Source organism: Homo sapiens, chromosome 2 (assembly GCF_000001405.40).
Source record: "Homo sapiens chromosome 2, GRCh38.p14 Primary Assembly".
NCBI lineage: Eukaryota > Metazoa > Chordata > Mammalia > Primates > Hominidae > Homo > Homo sapiens.
In genome coordinates this window covers 29192468-29208912 of record NC_000002.12, presented here as the reverse complement: position 1 = coordinate 29208912, position 16445 = coordinate 29192468, and the positions used below count along the sequence as shown (strand labels likewise).

Below are 16445 nucleotides of genomic sequence, written 5' to 3'. Positions count from 1 at the left end.
AGTTTTAAAAGCTAATACTACTTTAATTGTACTTTTTCTCACTCTTCTCTTCCTAGCCTCTAGTTCCTTTTTTTCCCTGATTATTTACAACACTGACTTGCTATGTGAGCTCAGCAAGTCCCTCCTTGCACAGGATGACCCCTTCCCTAACTCACAGGGGTAGAGAGAGGAGCAATCGTTATATGGAGCTTTAACTCTTTGGGGAATAAGTGAGACTGATCCAGACACCACCCCTGAAGGCCTCCATCAAACATGGTAACAGTCCCCACAGGGGTGAGCATGCTGAGGCCATCATGTTACCACGGGGCAGCAGCATGTGGAAGATGTAGTAAAGACGTCTCTGGAGTGTCTACCACTGCTATCCGTCGCACTCCTCTCCTCTGCTCCACTTCGCCTTCTAACACTACCCACAAGCTCAGCGTTCCTTCCTCTCCCTCCTCAGAATACCCTGGGACTGCCTCTCATTTCAAATACAAATGCTGCAGCATGACTCCTCGAGCCCTCTGTTATCTGACTTTTCCTTCCCAGGCTCAGCTCTGACAGCTCCCAGCTCCAGGCTTCAACCACCCTAAGTTACCTACAGTCCTTCATTCCCCACCTACTCTGCACTTTGTACAATGGCACGGGTCAGGAATGGTCTTCTGGGAGAGCGTCTTTTCTCCTCAGCTCCATCAGTGCCCTTCTGTGAAGCTTTCCCTACCCCTGCCTCAAGTAGAATGAATCAATTCTTCATTTGTGTCACTGAGCCTTGCACATACCTGCATTACTGTGTTTTCTATATTGCAATGCATATATATCCATTTCTTCCACTAAACAATATCCTTGGGAGAGAGAGACTGACCTATTTATGTCCTCAGCACATGGCAGAGTACCTGATACATACTAAATATTCAGTACTTATTTATTGAGGTAATTAATTAATGTCGACAGCTGGCAGGAAGCTGCTTCCTGTAACACACTCACACAGGAGAACACCAGGCTAGACATGCAATTGGCCTAACAGGCAGATGAGTTAATTTATTGGTTTTTAGCAGTGAGTTGCATTAATGACATTACTGATGAAAACTAATAAATTAACTCATCTACCTTGTAAGCCAACTCCACACCTAGCCCTGTGTTCTTTTGTCTGGGTGTGTCATGGGAGGCAGCATCCACACAGCTGTCTAGATTACTGGTTGATTGCCTATACTGAACTAAATGCTGTGTGAGTGTCAGAGGATCCAAAATGATTAAGACACAAGCCCTGCTCTCAGTTCTCCCATTTTGGATCTTGCATTACTGCAGATCATCAGAAACACACTATACTTATAAGGTTGGAGTAATGTTATTCATTGTGAGCTATAATAAACAAAACCCAACAGAGAAAGCTAAACATCTGCTAGCAGGTATCTTAGTCATTGCATAGATCATTCCTCTCATGCCTCTCGTGGTTTGTTTTGTCTTCTATTAAATGACACCAAAGTTCTTAACTAAATGATCTGTGTGCCCCTGCTCTCCTCCTGAACCGCCAAGGACTCATGGTTAATTTCAGACCTTTAATGGGTAGACTATATTGTTGCCACTTTCTCAACTTTCCCAGCAGGGCAGATGCTTAATGCCATCTCCAGATCCTAGTTTGGTTTTCCTCTCCTTCCCCACAGGGCGAGCTACTATAGAAAGGGAGGCTGTGCCATGCTGCCAGTTAAGTGGATGCCCCCAGAGGCCTTCATGGAAGGAATATTCACTTCTAAAACAGACACATGGTAAGTCAGCCATCATCCTCCAGGTATCCCTGCAGCCATAAGGTGGTGCTCCTGGGCCAAAGGACTCTATACTCTAAGCCGGGAGCCCGTGTGTTAGTAGGGAGGGAAAAGAGAAGAATCAATACACCCGACAACAGTGGTTCTCAAACGTGAGCATCTATCAGAATTCATAAAGACTTGTTAAAATTCAGATTATTGGACCCTACCCTGGGAATTTATGATTCAGAAGGTCTGGGATCTAGCTGAGAATTTGCATTTCTAACAAGTCCCAGAGTGATGCTGCCATTGCTGGCTGGGACCACACATTAACAGCCACATGTAATTTTAAATGGCAGATTGAACACATGCCCCTCACAAAGTACACATACATACACACACACACACACACACACACCAATAAAGGGAGTCTTTTAGTTGCATTAAACCCTGCAAGAACACAACAATGACAAAATTTTGGAAACTGGGAAGTCATGAACAAGTGGTACCTTACTGAGAAGATTAGAAAATGGATCTCTAAACCAAGTCCAGATCCAGAAACAGGGCTGGTTCCCTCTGCCTGAGAGCCCCAGAAAGGTCCAGAAATTGAAAGTAGGGGTGTAGGCCAGGCACGGTTGCTCATGCCTGTAATCCCAATACTTTGGGAGGCTGAAGCTGGAGGACTGCTCGAGCCCAGGAGTTCAAGACCAGCCTGGGTAGCATAGCAAGGCCCCATCTCTACCATAAATTTTAAAATTAGCCAGGTGTGGTGGTGCACGCATGTGGTCCCAGCTACTCTGGAAGCTTGGATGGGAGGTTCACTAGAGCCCAGGAAGTCAAGGCTGCAGTGAGCTATGATCATGCCACTCCACTCCAGCCTGGGCAAGCAAGAGAGGGGGAGAGAGAGGGAGGGAGGGAACGAGAGAGAGAAAGAAAGAAAGGGAGGGGAGAGGAGGTAGAAGGGAGGGGCAGAGAAGAGAGGAGAGAGAAGAAAGGGAGGGAGGGAGGAAGAAAAGAAGGGGAGGTATAGCAAACAGGAAAATTCATGAAAGGTCTGTTTAAGGAATAAGTAAATCCTGTGGCTGAGCCCCTCACCCCTGAAGCTTGCTGGCTGTCCCTTATCTACCATCAGCACAAGACTTGGGCTCTCTCTCTGAAGAGACTGAACTGAAGTCTCCCTGGTCCTGGCCCCCACTGGCCCCTCAGCACCAAGAATACTGGCAACTGGGCAGATCATCAGAGAATTTCTCTTTGGAGGACCGATGAAGAGAAAATTACAGATACAGTACTGCCAAGTGGGGCACAGGTGCAGTGGGCTGAGTAATGGCCGCCCGAGGGTATCAGGTCCTAATCCCAGGGGCCCAGAATTGTTGCCTTATAAGGAAAATGGGTCTTTGCAGATGTGATGAAGTTGAGGATACTAGAGTGGGGCAGCTGTCCTGGATCATCTAGGTGGGCCCTAAATGCCATCGCAAGTATCCTTATAAGAGAGAAGGACCAGGAGATTTCACACACACAAAAGAAGAGGGAGTGTGAGCACAGAGGCTGAGACTGGAGATGCGGCCCCAAGTCAAGGAGGTCCCGCAGCCACCAGAAGCCAGAAGAAGGAGGGAACAGATTATCCCCTAGAGCCTCCAGAAGGGACACAGCCCTGCTGATGCCTTGATTTCAGTCCTGTGATACCAGTTTCAGATGTCCGGCCTTCAGAACTGTCAGAGAATGAACTTATGTTGTTTTAAGCCACCAAGCATGTGGTTGTTTGGTTGGTTGGTTGGTTTTGTTTTTTACAACAGTCACAGAAAATTACAGCTAGTGAAACAAGCAAGCAAGCTACCCACCAGCCAATGTGTTACACAGAACTTTCTACTGGCTTCTTAATATCCCAGTCTTAAAATATGAACAGACAGCCAAGAATCAACAAACATTTAAGAAAATATTCTAATCTGAAGAAAACACACATATAAAAAGGAACTTGAAGAAACATGTAGAAAGTTTAGGAAAACTTTCTAAAAAACTATAATATCCTCCAAAAGATCAGAAAAACTATTGCAACCATAAATGGAGGACAAAAGGTTATTTTAAACAATACTCTTAGGAGGATAAGGAAATCCAAGTGTGATAAGAGGTGGCCTCAAGGAGATAGGCATGGCTACCCTGAAGCCTGTGTGGGCTGCGTGTTCTCACTTTCTTCCAAAGAGTACAGGGCTGGGTCAGAGGGGAAAAGAGAAACTTCACAGTGGAGAGACCTGACAAATAACGACCTCAGCCAGGTGCTCAAGGTCAACCTCAATAGTGATAAGTCTAGGGGCCAAGCACAGTAGCTCATGCCTGTAATCCCAGCTCTTTGGGAGGCCAAGGTGGGCGGATCACCTGAGGTCAGAAGTTCGAGACTAGCCTTGCCAACATGGTGAAACACATCTCTACTAAAAACACAAAATTTAGCTGGGCATGGTGGTAGGCCCCTGTAAACCCAGCTACTCAGGAGGCTGAGGCAGGAGAAATGCTTGAACCTGGGAGGTGGAGGTTGTAGTGAGCTGAGATTGTGCAACTGCACTCCAGCCTGGGTGACAAGAGCGAAACTCCATCTCAAATAATAATAGTAATAACAACAGGGCTGGGTCATGTTGCCAGTATGTTCCCCTGATGTGATGAAAATGGTACTTTACCTCTGTGGTCTTCTTCCTCCCCACATCCCGTAACCACAGTCTAATCATGAGAAAAACAGACAAATCCCAATTGAGGAATATTCTACAAAATCCCTGACCAGATTCTCAAACCTGTCAAGGTCATAAAAAACGAGGAAAGTCGGAGGTGTTGTCATAGTCAAGAGAAGCCCAAAGAAACAAGACAATTAAATGTAATGCGATATCCTAGTAGGACTCTGGAATAGAAAACAGAGATTCAGTGAAAACTAAGGAAATCTGAATGAAGTATGGGCTTTAGTCAATAATGCCTTAACTGTGGTTCATTAATTGTAACACGTGTATCGCACTAGTGTGATGCTAACAGTAGCAGGGATCAAGTGTGAGGTATAGGAGAACTCCGTGTATTCATAGTTTCTTCCAAGTTTGAACTGTTCTAAGAAAAAAATCTTATTATTTAAAAATTTGATGACAGAAATGCAATGAAAAGGATGGAGTGTGAAGCTAAATAAACCTTCCAGAAAATAAACCTAAAAAGAGATGGAAAATATAGGAAAATATAATAATTTTTTATTTAAAAAATTAAGGGGTAGACCAAAAGGTCCAATTTAGCTGACAAAATAGGAGTCCCAGAGAGAAGGAACAGAGGAAATGAAGAGAATAAAGACAGCAGAGCAATCATTCAAGATTTCCTAGCACAGGACATAAATTTCCAGAATGAAAGAATTCACCAAGTGCCAATCACCATGGGGAAAAAGGGCATATCCTCGGCCGGGCGCAGTGGCTCACACCTGAAATCCCAGCACTTTGGGAGACCGAGGCAGGTGGATCATGAGGTCAGGAGTTCGAGACCAGCCTGGCCAAGATGGTGAAACCCGTCTCTACTAAAAATACAAAAATTAGCTGGGCGTGGTGGCGGGTGCCTGTAATCCCAGCTACTTGGGAGGATGAGGCCAGAGAATTGCTTGAACCTGGGAGGCGGAGGTTGCAGTGAGTTGAGATTACTGTAGCCTGGGCGACAGAGCAAGACTCTGTCTCACAAAAAAAAAAAAAAAAAAAAAAAAAAAGGCACATCCTCAGGCCAATGGTGATAAAGATCCTGCAAACTTCCACAAAGAAAATTTAAAAATTAATAGTAAAAAATAATAGAGATAAAAGATAAGGAATCCAAATGGCATCAAATTGCTTAACAGCACCACAGGAAACATAAGAAGACAATGCAAGAATGAAAAACCTCCACATTTTGAAAGCCTGGAGCTGAGATCATGTCATAAGATGGTGCGGCCACAAATAGTCAGAGCTGCCTTTCTGACCAGCATTAGATAATGAGAGCAAGAGCCTTTGTTGTTTTTACACCAGTGAGATTTGGTTTTAACCTAACCCAGTGGATCTCTAAGTGTGGTCCATCAGCACCACCTGGGAACTGCGAATCCTCGGCCCCCACCTCAGGCCTAATACAACAGAAACTCTAGGGGTGGGACTCTGCAATCTGTGTTTTATCAGATGATTCTGATATGCAGGGAAGTTAGAGCACCAGCAACCCAGGGGATCCAGAGACAGAGAATAACTTAAGCAATTAAGTAATTGTCCTGAACACACACACATCCTGTGACCTAACGCTCCTATTTTTAAGTAAATACATTAGAGAGAAGATGACACAAATAGACTTGGGCGCTGGATGTTCACTTGCAACATTGTTTACAATAGAGAAAAAGCAAAACAAAAACAAAAATAAAAACAAAACCCAACCCAACTACCCCTCAACTAGGAGATGGAAAAATTAACTGTGGTTTACTTACATCATGGAAAACTATTCCGCAGTATAAAAGAAGACAACCTACATATATCAACATAGATAAATCTCAAAAACAGTGTTCAGTGGGGAAAAAGCAAATTACAAAAAGGAGTAGGATATCATTTATGTATAACTTTACAATATAAAAAATGTCTATAACACAGTATCGTTTGCGCTTTCACGCATTGTTTAAAAATGTGAAACATACAATTGTAGGATACAGTCTAACTTCAGGAGAGCAGAGAGAGGGAGGTGGGGTCTTTCTGTCTCTAAGTCTTCATAAAGAAAGGGAGAGCTGACAAGAATAAGACAAAAGATTAACATCTAGATACATAGATAACTCTGTTCCTTTTTAAAGTTTTGACTGTTTCACAATTGGAATGCTTAAACAAATTATATAGCTGCAAGGATTAGGAAGTGCTCTAAGACAATCAGGCAGAAAGAGGAGGAGCTGGGGTTTTTTTGGCAAAGGTGGGCGGGGGGAAGCTCCTTACCGGAGGTAACTTCAATACCTGAAAGAAAGGGCAGGCCTTGGAAAGATCTGAGAGAAAGGCTTTCCAGACTGCAGGAAAAGCCAGTGTGAACAGCCAGAGGCAGGAAGGAGCCTAGCTTGCTTGCTGAGGAATGAAATCAAGTCCTGATGGTCGGAGCTAAGGGAGCCCAGGGCCAATAGGGGTGGAAGGGATGGGTCAGAACACAGACGGCCTTGGAACTCAGATGGGGGATGTGGATTTTATTCTAAACACCATGGGATGCCGGTTGAAGGGTTGTAAGCAGGAGTGTGATATGATCTTTGCTTTATAAAAAAAATCTCTCTGCCACTGAATTTACACTAGAGGTGGGTAAGTGAAGAAAGAAACCAGTTAAGAAAATCCTGCACATTGCTAGCTGAGAGAAACAGGAGAGCGATGTGGCTTGGTGGTGGCAGTGGAGGTAGCGCAAAGTAGTCAGATTCAAGATTTTTTTTTTTTTTTTTAGACTGTCATTCTGTCGCCCCGGCTGGAGTACAGTGGCGCCATCTCAGCTCACTGCAACCTCCGCCTCCTAGGTTGAAACAATCCTCTCACTTCAGCCTCCCAAGTAGCTGGGATTACAGACGCGTGCTACCACACCCAGCTAATTTTTGTATTTTTAGTAGAGACGGGATTTCACCACGTTGGCCAGGCTGGTCTCGAACTCCTGACCTCAAGTGATCCGCCCACCTCAGACCCCAAAATGCTGAGATTACAGGCATGAGCCACAGCGCCCGGCCTCAAGATCTATCTTGAATGTAGAGTTAACAGGACTGCTGACTGTTGGATGGGAAGTGGAGGGGTGTGGGATAACGGAGTCAAGGATGACTCCTGGGTTTTGGGCTTGAACAAATGCATAACCAGAGGTGCTGCTGAGTTGGGAAAGAATGAAAGAGGAGATGGTGTGGGTTCAGAAGGAGTTCCGTTTGGGCATGTTAAATTTGAGTTGCCTATTAAAATAGGCCAGTGAAGCTAATGAGTGGGCATCTGATAGATGAAACTAAAGATCAGAGAACTGTATGAGATCTTGGTGTATGAGATCTTGGAATCCACTGGATGGACATTTAAAGATATTAATTTTTGGCTCCCATTTTTCCTAAGAGCATAACCTCTATCACACCTGGAGACCATCTTCCACAATGTTTTTTTTTTTCTTTAATCATAACCTCCTTTCAGGTTATGATTAAGGAGAAAAATGTAGCTTTTAAAGGCTGATACAGAACAGCTTGATATTTTAAAATCTTTTATCAGATTATCTTCATCGATTCAAATGTTTAACAGTTTAATCAGCAATAATGTTTGCTATTATTTCTATCAATCATTCCAGGCAGAGCAAGTTTAATACCAAAAGAAAGTGAAGTTTAAAAATATATATATACACATATATATACGTATCTATATACACACACATATATATACGTATATATGTATATACACACATATATATGTATACATGTATATACATATATATACGTATATATATACATATATACGTATATATATACGTATATATATACATATATACGTATGTATATTTGATTTTAAATGCTCTGGTGCAAAGCTTTGGGCTTTTGTCGCTCCTGTTTAGGGCAGGCTTATAGGTGATGAAAGAACCATCTGGCATACAAAATATAGATTTGCCTCATCTGTAGGGTTTCTAGATAAAATACAAAATGGTCAGTGAAATTGAATTTCAGATGCACAGCAAATAGTTTTTTAGTATAAATATTGGAGCATACATATACTAAAAAAACTATGTGTTGCTTATCTGGAACTCAAATTTAACTAGGTATCTGGTATTGTTTGCAAATATGAAAATCCTACTTATTCAAAATTGTCAAAGTTCTATGACCAATACTACTTCTTGCTCCCTTGAACTCTAAACTAAGAAAATAAATATTCATGTGCAGTTCTATTAGTGCTCTCAAAGGATGCTATAACCTATATCTATCTAGAAAAACAGAAAACATATAGCTATAATTCTTTAGGCCTTACTGCCAGTTTCTTGTTCATTTGATTTTGCCTAGTTAGTTTTGCCTTGAAGGGAAGTAAGATCACCAAACAGAAAGGAATAATATATGTGCCAGGCAATTTGTAAGTAGCAAAATCAAGAGATCTCCAAACAGAAAGGAATAATATATGTGCCAGGCAATTTGTAAGTAGCAAAATCAAGAGATCTAATAATGTATTCCAGTCTGTCTCGGATTAGTTGTATAATAACCTGTGCTTCAACCTTCTCACCTGAAAAATAGGGAAAATATCTTTGCCCAATCCTTCTCACAAGAGTCTTTGAAATTTCACACAGATGATGACAATAAAAGCACCCCATGTTTCTTAGAAGATGAAGGAACTATTGTTCTCTACAATTTTTGTGGTAATATTTGCTAACCTCAGAAAACTACAATCACACTAAAAGATAGTCTTTGTCAAAAAGCTGATCATTAGGTAGTGGTTTAAAGTTTTAATCAAAATATCAAAGGTGATTCTTTTAGAACACGAAGAATTCATCTCATAAAGCTTTTAAAAAAACAAATGAGAAATCAAATATTTTTTAAAGAGAAATAGAGAAAAATGCCTTTTCAGATTTAAGACAAATACACAGAAAGTAAAATAGAATGGTATCAATGCAAGAAGCAGACAAATAGATGAAGTGAAAATATAGCCAGAAACAGACCTGTTTTTAATCGTGAGTCAATGGGTAAGGAGGAAATTATCTTATGCATAGTGTTGGAAGAGTAGTTATTTGAAAAGCAAATCAATTTAGGTCCTTACCTCACACTAGACACCAAATTAAATTCCAACTAGATTTAAGAAGAGAGCAAAAACAAACACAACTAGAAGAAGATAGCAAATATTTATCTAATCTTTGGTGAAGGGAAGATTGTATAACTATAAAATAAAGGAAATCATGACATTAAAAAAATAGGTTTGACTATCTAAAAATAAAAATCTTTCTTTGGTATGCTAAAAAGTAGCATTAGAAAGCAACTAAGGCCAGGTGCGGTGTTTCACATCTGTAATCCCAGCACTTTGGGAGGCCGAGGTGGGTGGATCACCTGAGATCAGGAGTTCAAGACCAGCCTGGCCAACATGACGAAACCCTGTCTCTACTAAAAATACAAAAATTAGCCAGGTGTTGTGGTGGGCGCCTGTAATCCCAGCTACTTGGGAGGCTGAGGCAGGCGAATCACTTGAACCTGGAAGGTGGAGGTTGCAGTGAGCCAAGATGGCACCACTGCACTCCAGCCTGAGTAACAGAGTGAGACTACATAAAAAAAAAAAAAGAAAACAACTAATAAAAGTATTTGAATTTTTTATAAAAGGTTAACATCTCTGACATATAAAGAGTGCCTACAAATCAAAAAGAAAATTGATTGATAGATACCAATTTGTCCCAGCAGATAAAAATGGGCAATTCATAGGAAAAAAAAGTGAAATGAATTAATAAACACTTGGGAAAACATCCAACCATGTGAATTATCAAGTCAATAAACATAATTTAAAATATTCTACCATTTTTTCCCTTAAAATCAGCAAAAGTTGTCATTATTATTAAGAATACTCAATGCTGGTGAGTGTGTCTACCACGCTTTTACATGGTGCTGGTAGATGAACAGAGTAACACATTTGGAAACCAAATAATATGCACCAAGAATTTGTCAATATTCATAGTCTTTTGATCTAGTTATTTTACTAGAATTAGCCTACATTTTAATTCAGTAATTACCCTGAATTACTAGATTATCCTATCTGGATTCAAGATCTATCTTGAAAGTTATAGGACTGCTGACTGTTGGATGGGAAGTGGAGGGGTGTGGGAGAATGGAATCAAGGATGACTCCTAGGTTTTGGGCTTGAGCAAATGTATAACCAGAGGTGCTGATGAGTTGGAAAAGAATAAAGGAGATGATGTGTGTACAGAAAGAGTTCCATTTGGGCATGTTAAATTTGAGTTGCCTATTAAAATAGGCCAGTGAAGTTGATGAGTGGGCATCTGATAGATGAAACTGAAGCTCAGAGAACTGTAAGAGACTATGAAATCAGCTGGCTGGACATCCTAATCTAGTAATTCAGAGACTTTATCTTAAGGAAATCTTCCTTTTAAAAAATGCACAAAGATGTTCATTATAGTATTTTAAATATTTTGAAAACTGAAAACAATGTGGAAATGATAAGGCAAACCAACTACTCAATGGAATGTTTTACAGCCATTAGCCATTCCAAATGTTATTTATGAAATGGACTGGCATGGAAAATGTTTATGATATAATGAAATGTGCAGAAAAGTCAAGGTTCAAAATTGCATATTGAATATAACTGCAAATAAGTGAAAAAAAATCTCAGCACAGAAACGACTTAAAAATCAACAGGGGTTGTCTTTTAAGGGAGCATCATGTGTAGTATTTTCTTATTTTTTAAATTTTTCTACATTTTAAGAGTTCTATGTTATGGAAAAGGGTATAATGGGGGAAAAAAAGGTTGAAATTGTATGTCTGTGTGCCTGTGTGTGTGTGTGAATGTGGGTGGGTGTGTCTATATCCATCTCCATGTCCTCTGTCCCATGCCCAGGTCCTTTGGAGTGCTGCTATGGGAAATCTTTTCTCTTGGATATATGCCATACCCCAGCAAAAGCAACCAGGAAGTTCTGGAGTTTGTCACCAGTGGAGGCCGGATGGACCCACCCAAGAACTGCCCTGGGCCTGTGTATGACTCTTTTAGGAACACTTCTGCTAGTTACTAAGCAGTTTTTCTTTTCAAAAAATATCCAGAGCCACATATGCTTCTTTAAGATGAAGGGGCAGATGGCTGCCCTCCCTTTAATATGCCCCAAGATGCGAATGTGACTGCGACTTCAGTGAGATGGATGCGTCTCCCAGGCCCTCAAAAGCAAGGATGCCATCCCAGAAAAAGTATCCATTGTCTGGCTACAGGCTGTGGACTCACCAGGCCTACATTCCCCAAGCTCCTGCTGGGAATGTGTGTCCCAGGCCCAGTCCCTGCTGCCCTACACCGTATGTCTGTGTCTACTTTAAAGATTTCCATTCCCTGCAATGTCTCCTGCCCTGCCTGGCACCCCTCACTTCCTTCCCACAAGCAACGTGGATGGGAAATATAATTGGAATATTCTGTCCCCAAAGTGGCTTTAACTCAGGAATGGAGTGACAGCAGCCGTGGTTAACATAAACATCAGGATGTCTGTGTTAGATACCTTTACACCTGCGCACTCTTCCTTGACCAATCAGCAGGGGGCAGCATAGGCCAAGTACACGGGGCCTAGACGAGTTCGCACCCTCAACGTATTCGTTGCAACCCTGGGGCTGGAAGAAAATATATTTTTCATCATTGTGCTTCTCCTTATTTTAATTAATGTGCTTCTTCTTTTAGATACCGGATAATGACTCAGTGCTGGCAACATCAGCCTGAAGACAGGCCCAACTTTGCCATCATTTTGGAGAGGATTGAATACTGCACCCAGGTAAAACATTTTCTCCCTTTGGTCAACATTTACTCTATATGAAACAGTCTTAAAGATGGCAAATACCGAAATATGAAATAGGTCAAGCCAGTCAGAGTACAAGATTTATGATCAAAATAGTGAAAATTAATTTTCTCTAAAATGAAATGACTGGTGTCTCCATTTGCCCATTTTGTAAAATAAATATTAGTAACTTCACCAGCACACAGCACAGTGCCAGACACACAGTAAAAACTGGGGAATCAATCCAGTCCACGAGAATTTATCAAGTCCCTACTGGGGACCTAATGTTTTAGTAGCCAAAATTGAAGCTTCACAGACGTATGGAACACATCTGCTCTCAAATAGTTTAGAGCCTGGCTGGAGAAATAACAACATGTGAAGTAATTAATTGCATATAAAATTGATAGATTATATGTCCAACTATATATGTCAGGAGGATTAAGGGAATGAAATTTCAAAGTAATCTGGAGAAATTTTAACATCATCAATAATACTTGCTATCATTCATACTGCACAAATCACTTTTTGCGTATTTCGTTTTATCCTTAGTGGGGAATGTAAAATATCCCTACCTTATAGATGAGGAGTTAAGGCCTGAAGAGTCTGTCCAAGTCAAACATTCTTCTAGCAATCCTGTGGGTTCCTCTACAGATCCCTCTCCCATTCCTTCAATAACGACTCGAAATTTTTGCTTCTCTCCCTCATTTTCAGCCGACAGCTATGCTTCCTCCCTCACCAAGAGGGTGGAGATCATCATAAGAGAATGCCCTCATTTCCTCCCTGTCTCTGATACAAACTTCTCTGCCTCTGCCGCCATTTCTCACCACCTGCCTTCCCGTCTCTCCTCCCCTTCAAGGCCAGCCTTGCTGCCAGTATCACCAATCGCCTGCTCAGGGCTTTGTTCTGTCCGATGCTCTCCTCTTCCCTGTATTCACTTTCTTTCCCTCTCTCTTGGTTCTCGTTCTGCCAGGATATCTAATTCTGAGAATATTTTAGAAGAGTCAATAAACCACTATTTATTTAATTTAATTTTGGGAGCAGTCTCGCTCTACTGCCCGGGCTGGAGCACAGTGGCGCCATCTTGGCTCACTGCAGCCTCCACCTCCCGGGTTCAAGCGATTCTCCTCCCTCAGCCTCCTGAGTGACCAGGATTACAGGCATGTGCCACCATATCCAGCTAATTTTTTTTGTAATTTTAGTAGAGATGGTGTTTCACCATTTTGGCAGGCTGATCTCGAACTCCTGACCTCAAGTGATCCACCCGCCTCGGCCTCCCAAAGTGCTGCCACACCTGGCCTACCTACTATTTCTTTAAATCCCCTCCTCTTCATTGTGACTAAAGACAGACACATTTTTCAAACTGTAGTCATTTTCCAGCCTCACTACTCCATCCTCTTATTCCTTTCAGCTCACGTGAGTGAACTGGCATTTTTATCTATAGACTTCCTATATCACGTTATTGAAGGTTCTTTCAGAGAACTCTGTTTAATGACATTAGGTTATTTTGTTGTAATCTGAATGGAATACACCCACTTAAACATATATACCTTCTTAGGAGTATTTTTCTCAATAGTCTATAATATCCCTCTTAAAAGGCAGTTTTACACAAGCATATTTAAAATGATTGATTCACTATAGAAATTACTAAAACACAGAGGGAACTAAAGAATGTTTTAATGAGTCAGAGGTAGTTATTTTTTAAACTCGAACACTCGTGTTTTTCTGTTACTCAGGTAATGAGGGTATTTTCTCAATTTGCATAAAATATTAATTAATTTCTCCAAATTTAATTTTTCTTCCACAAATTTTCCCTAAACTTCTGGCAGCTGCTTCTGTTCTTCTATGTTACAGTCTATTACTGTGAAAATGATCTAGCACACAGTTGTTTTTGTAAATGGTTTTCCTCACAGCACTTCAGCATTTCCTGGGTTGTGCAAAGGGTCCCTCACATCCAGACTAGTTAAAGAATGCCTGTAATCCCAGCACTCTGGGAGGCCGAGGCAGGTGCCTCACCTGAGGTCAGGAGTTCGACACCAGCCTGGCCAACATGTTGAATGAAACCTTGTCTCTACTAAAAACACAAAAATTAGCGGGGGTGGGGGGGTGGGGGGGTGGGGTGCATGCCTGTAATCCCAGCTACTCAGGAGGCTGAGGCACGAGAATGGCTTGAACCCACTAGGCAGAGGTTGCAGTGAGCCAAGATTGAGCCATGGCACCCCAGCCTGGGCGACTGAGCAAGACTGTCTCTAAAAAACAAACACAAAAACATGCACTGTGGTACCTGCACATGTGATGATGTGGCACAGGAAAACTTACAATCAAGTGTAAAGTACCCAAATGGAAATGGAAAGCAGCTGGGAAGAGATCAAAAAATAAACCCTGTAGGCCAACATGGCATGTGTCTCCTCTCCTCCTCCCCCCAGCCCCCCACCATCACTCTTGAAGTCAAACACATAGGCTTTTATTTTTATTTTTTCCAGTTGGAACGATTTTAGTGGAACTAGACTGGAATAATACAAATAATAATCTTAATTTTTTTTTTAAATCCACTAATCTTTAAAAACTGGCCAAAGGTCTCCTCCTCTGCAAAGCTTTTCCTGCTCCACTCTGTCCCAGGCACCCATACACACTTCCATTATAGCGCTTATCCTCTAAGGTCTTTGAGGATAAGGATGACTTCCCATTCATTTTGTATGCCCCAGTGCCTGTAAGTTACTATATTCTCAATAAATCCTGGTTTCCTCATCTGTAGAATATGTTTAGATAACATCATCTCTAAGGTATCTTCTAGATCCAACATTTTTTGTCTCTGATTCAAAGTTTTAATAATTTCCCCTACGGCAGGACCCGGATGTAATCAACACCGCTTTGCCGATAGAATATGGTCCACTTGTGGAAGAGGAAGAGAAAGTGCCTGTGAGGCCCAAGGACCCTGAGGGGGTTCCTCCTCTCCTGGTCTCTCAACAGGCAAAACGGGAGGAGGAGCGCAGCCCAGCTGCCCCACCACCTCTGCCTACCACCTCCTCTGGCAAGGCTGCAAAGAAACCCACAGCTGCAGAGATCTCTGTTCGAGTCCCTAGAGGGCCGGCCGTGGAAGGGGGACACGTGAATATGGCATTCTCTCAGTCCAACCCTCCTTCGGAGTTGCACAAGGTCCACGGATCCAGAAACAAGCCCACCAGCTTGTGGAACCCAACGTACGGCTCCTGGTTTACAGAGAAACCCACCAAAAAGAATAATCCTATAGCAAAGAAGGAGCCACACGACAGGGGTAACCTGGGGCTGGAGGGAAGCTGTACTGTCCCACCTAACGTTGCAACTGGGAGACTTCCGGGGGCCTCACTGCTCCTAGAGCCCTCTTCGCTGACTGCCAATATGAAGGAGGTACCTCTGTTCAGGCTACGTCACTTCCCTTGTGGGAATGTCAATTACGGCTACCAGCAACAGGGCTTGCCCTTAGAAGCCGCTACTGCCCCTGGAGCTGGTCATTACGAGGATACCATTCTGAAAAGCAAGAATAGCATGAACCAGCCTGGGCCCTGAGCTCGGTCGCACACTCACTTCTCTTCCTTGGGATCCCTAAGACCGTGGAGGAGAGAGAGGCAATGGCTCCTTCACAAACCAGAGACCAAATGTCACGTTTTGTTTTGTGCCAACCTATTTTGAAGTACCACCAAAAAAGCTGTATTTTGAAAATGCTTTAGAAAGGTTTTGAGCATGGGTTCATCCTATTCTTTCGAAAGAAGAAAATATCATAAAAATGAGTGATAAATACAAGGCCCAGATGTGGTTGCATAAGGTTTTTATGCATGTTTGTTGTATACTTCCTTATGCTTCTTTCAAATTGTGTGTGCTCTGCTTCAATGTAGTCAGAATTAGCTGCTTCTATGTTTCATAGTTGGGGTCATAGATGTTTCCTTGCCTTGTTGATGTGGACATGAGCCATTTGAGGGGAGAGGGAACGGAAATAAAGGAGTTATTTGTAATGACTAAGCATGGGGAAAGACATTCTTTACTTGAAAAAGAAAAAATCATAGACAACTGAAATGTCACTTTAGGTGACGGTTAGATGCTTTTAATTGTGCTGATTCATCACCAATTGTAAAAAATGTCGTGAGTAGTTCCAGTAGTATAGCAGAAGTGTGTATATACTCATCTCAATGAAATGCATACATTCCAAGTGCTTTGAGTAGGATAAAGCACCAATACAGATCCAGAGATTCAAACATCCTATTAAATATACCTCATGCCTTAAGAAAATCCTCCTACTAGAAGTGAAAAACTGAGTGTGAGGTTTCC

At 41.9% G+C, this 16445-nt stretch overlaps 1 protein-coding gene across 2 annotated transcripts in view; it reads left to right on the top strand.

Moving 5' to 3' along the window:
• The window catches only part of ALK (ALK receptor tyrosine kinase), a 728813-nt gene extending 712674 nt beyond the window's left edge, over positions 1-16139 (top strand). For both annotated transcript variants that reach the window (NM_004304.5, NM_001353765.2), the window contains 4 exons: positions 1641-1742; positions 11237-11371; positions 12053-12143; positions 14991-16139. In NM_004304.5, coding sequence (NP_004295.2) covers positions 1641-1742; positions 11237-11371; positions 12053-12143; positions 14991-15689 — 1027 coding nt within the window. In that variant the 3' untranslated portion in view covers positions 15690-16139. The remainder of the gene's footprint in view (positions 1-1640; positions 1743-11236; positions 11372-12052; positions 12144-14990) is intronic.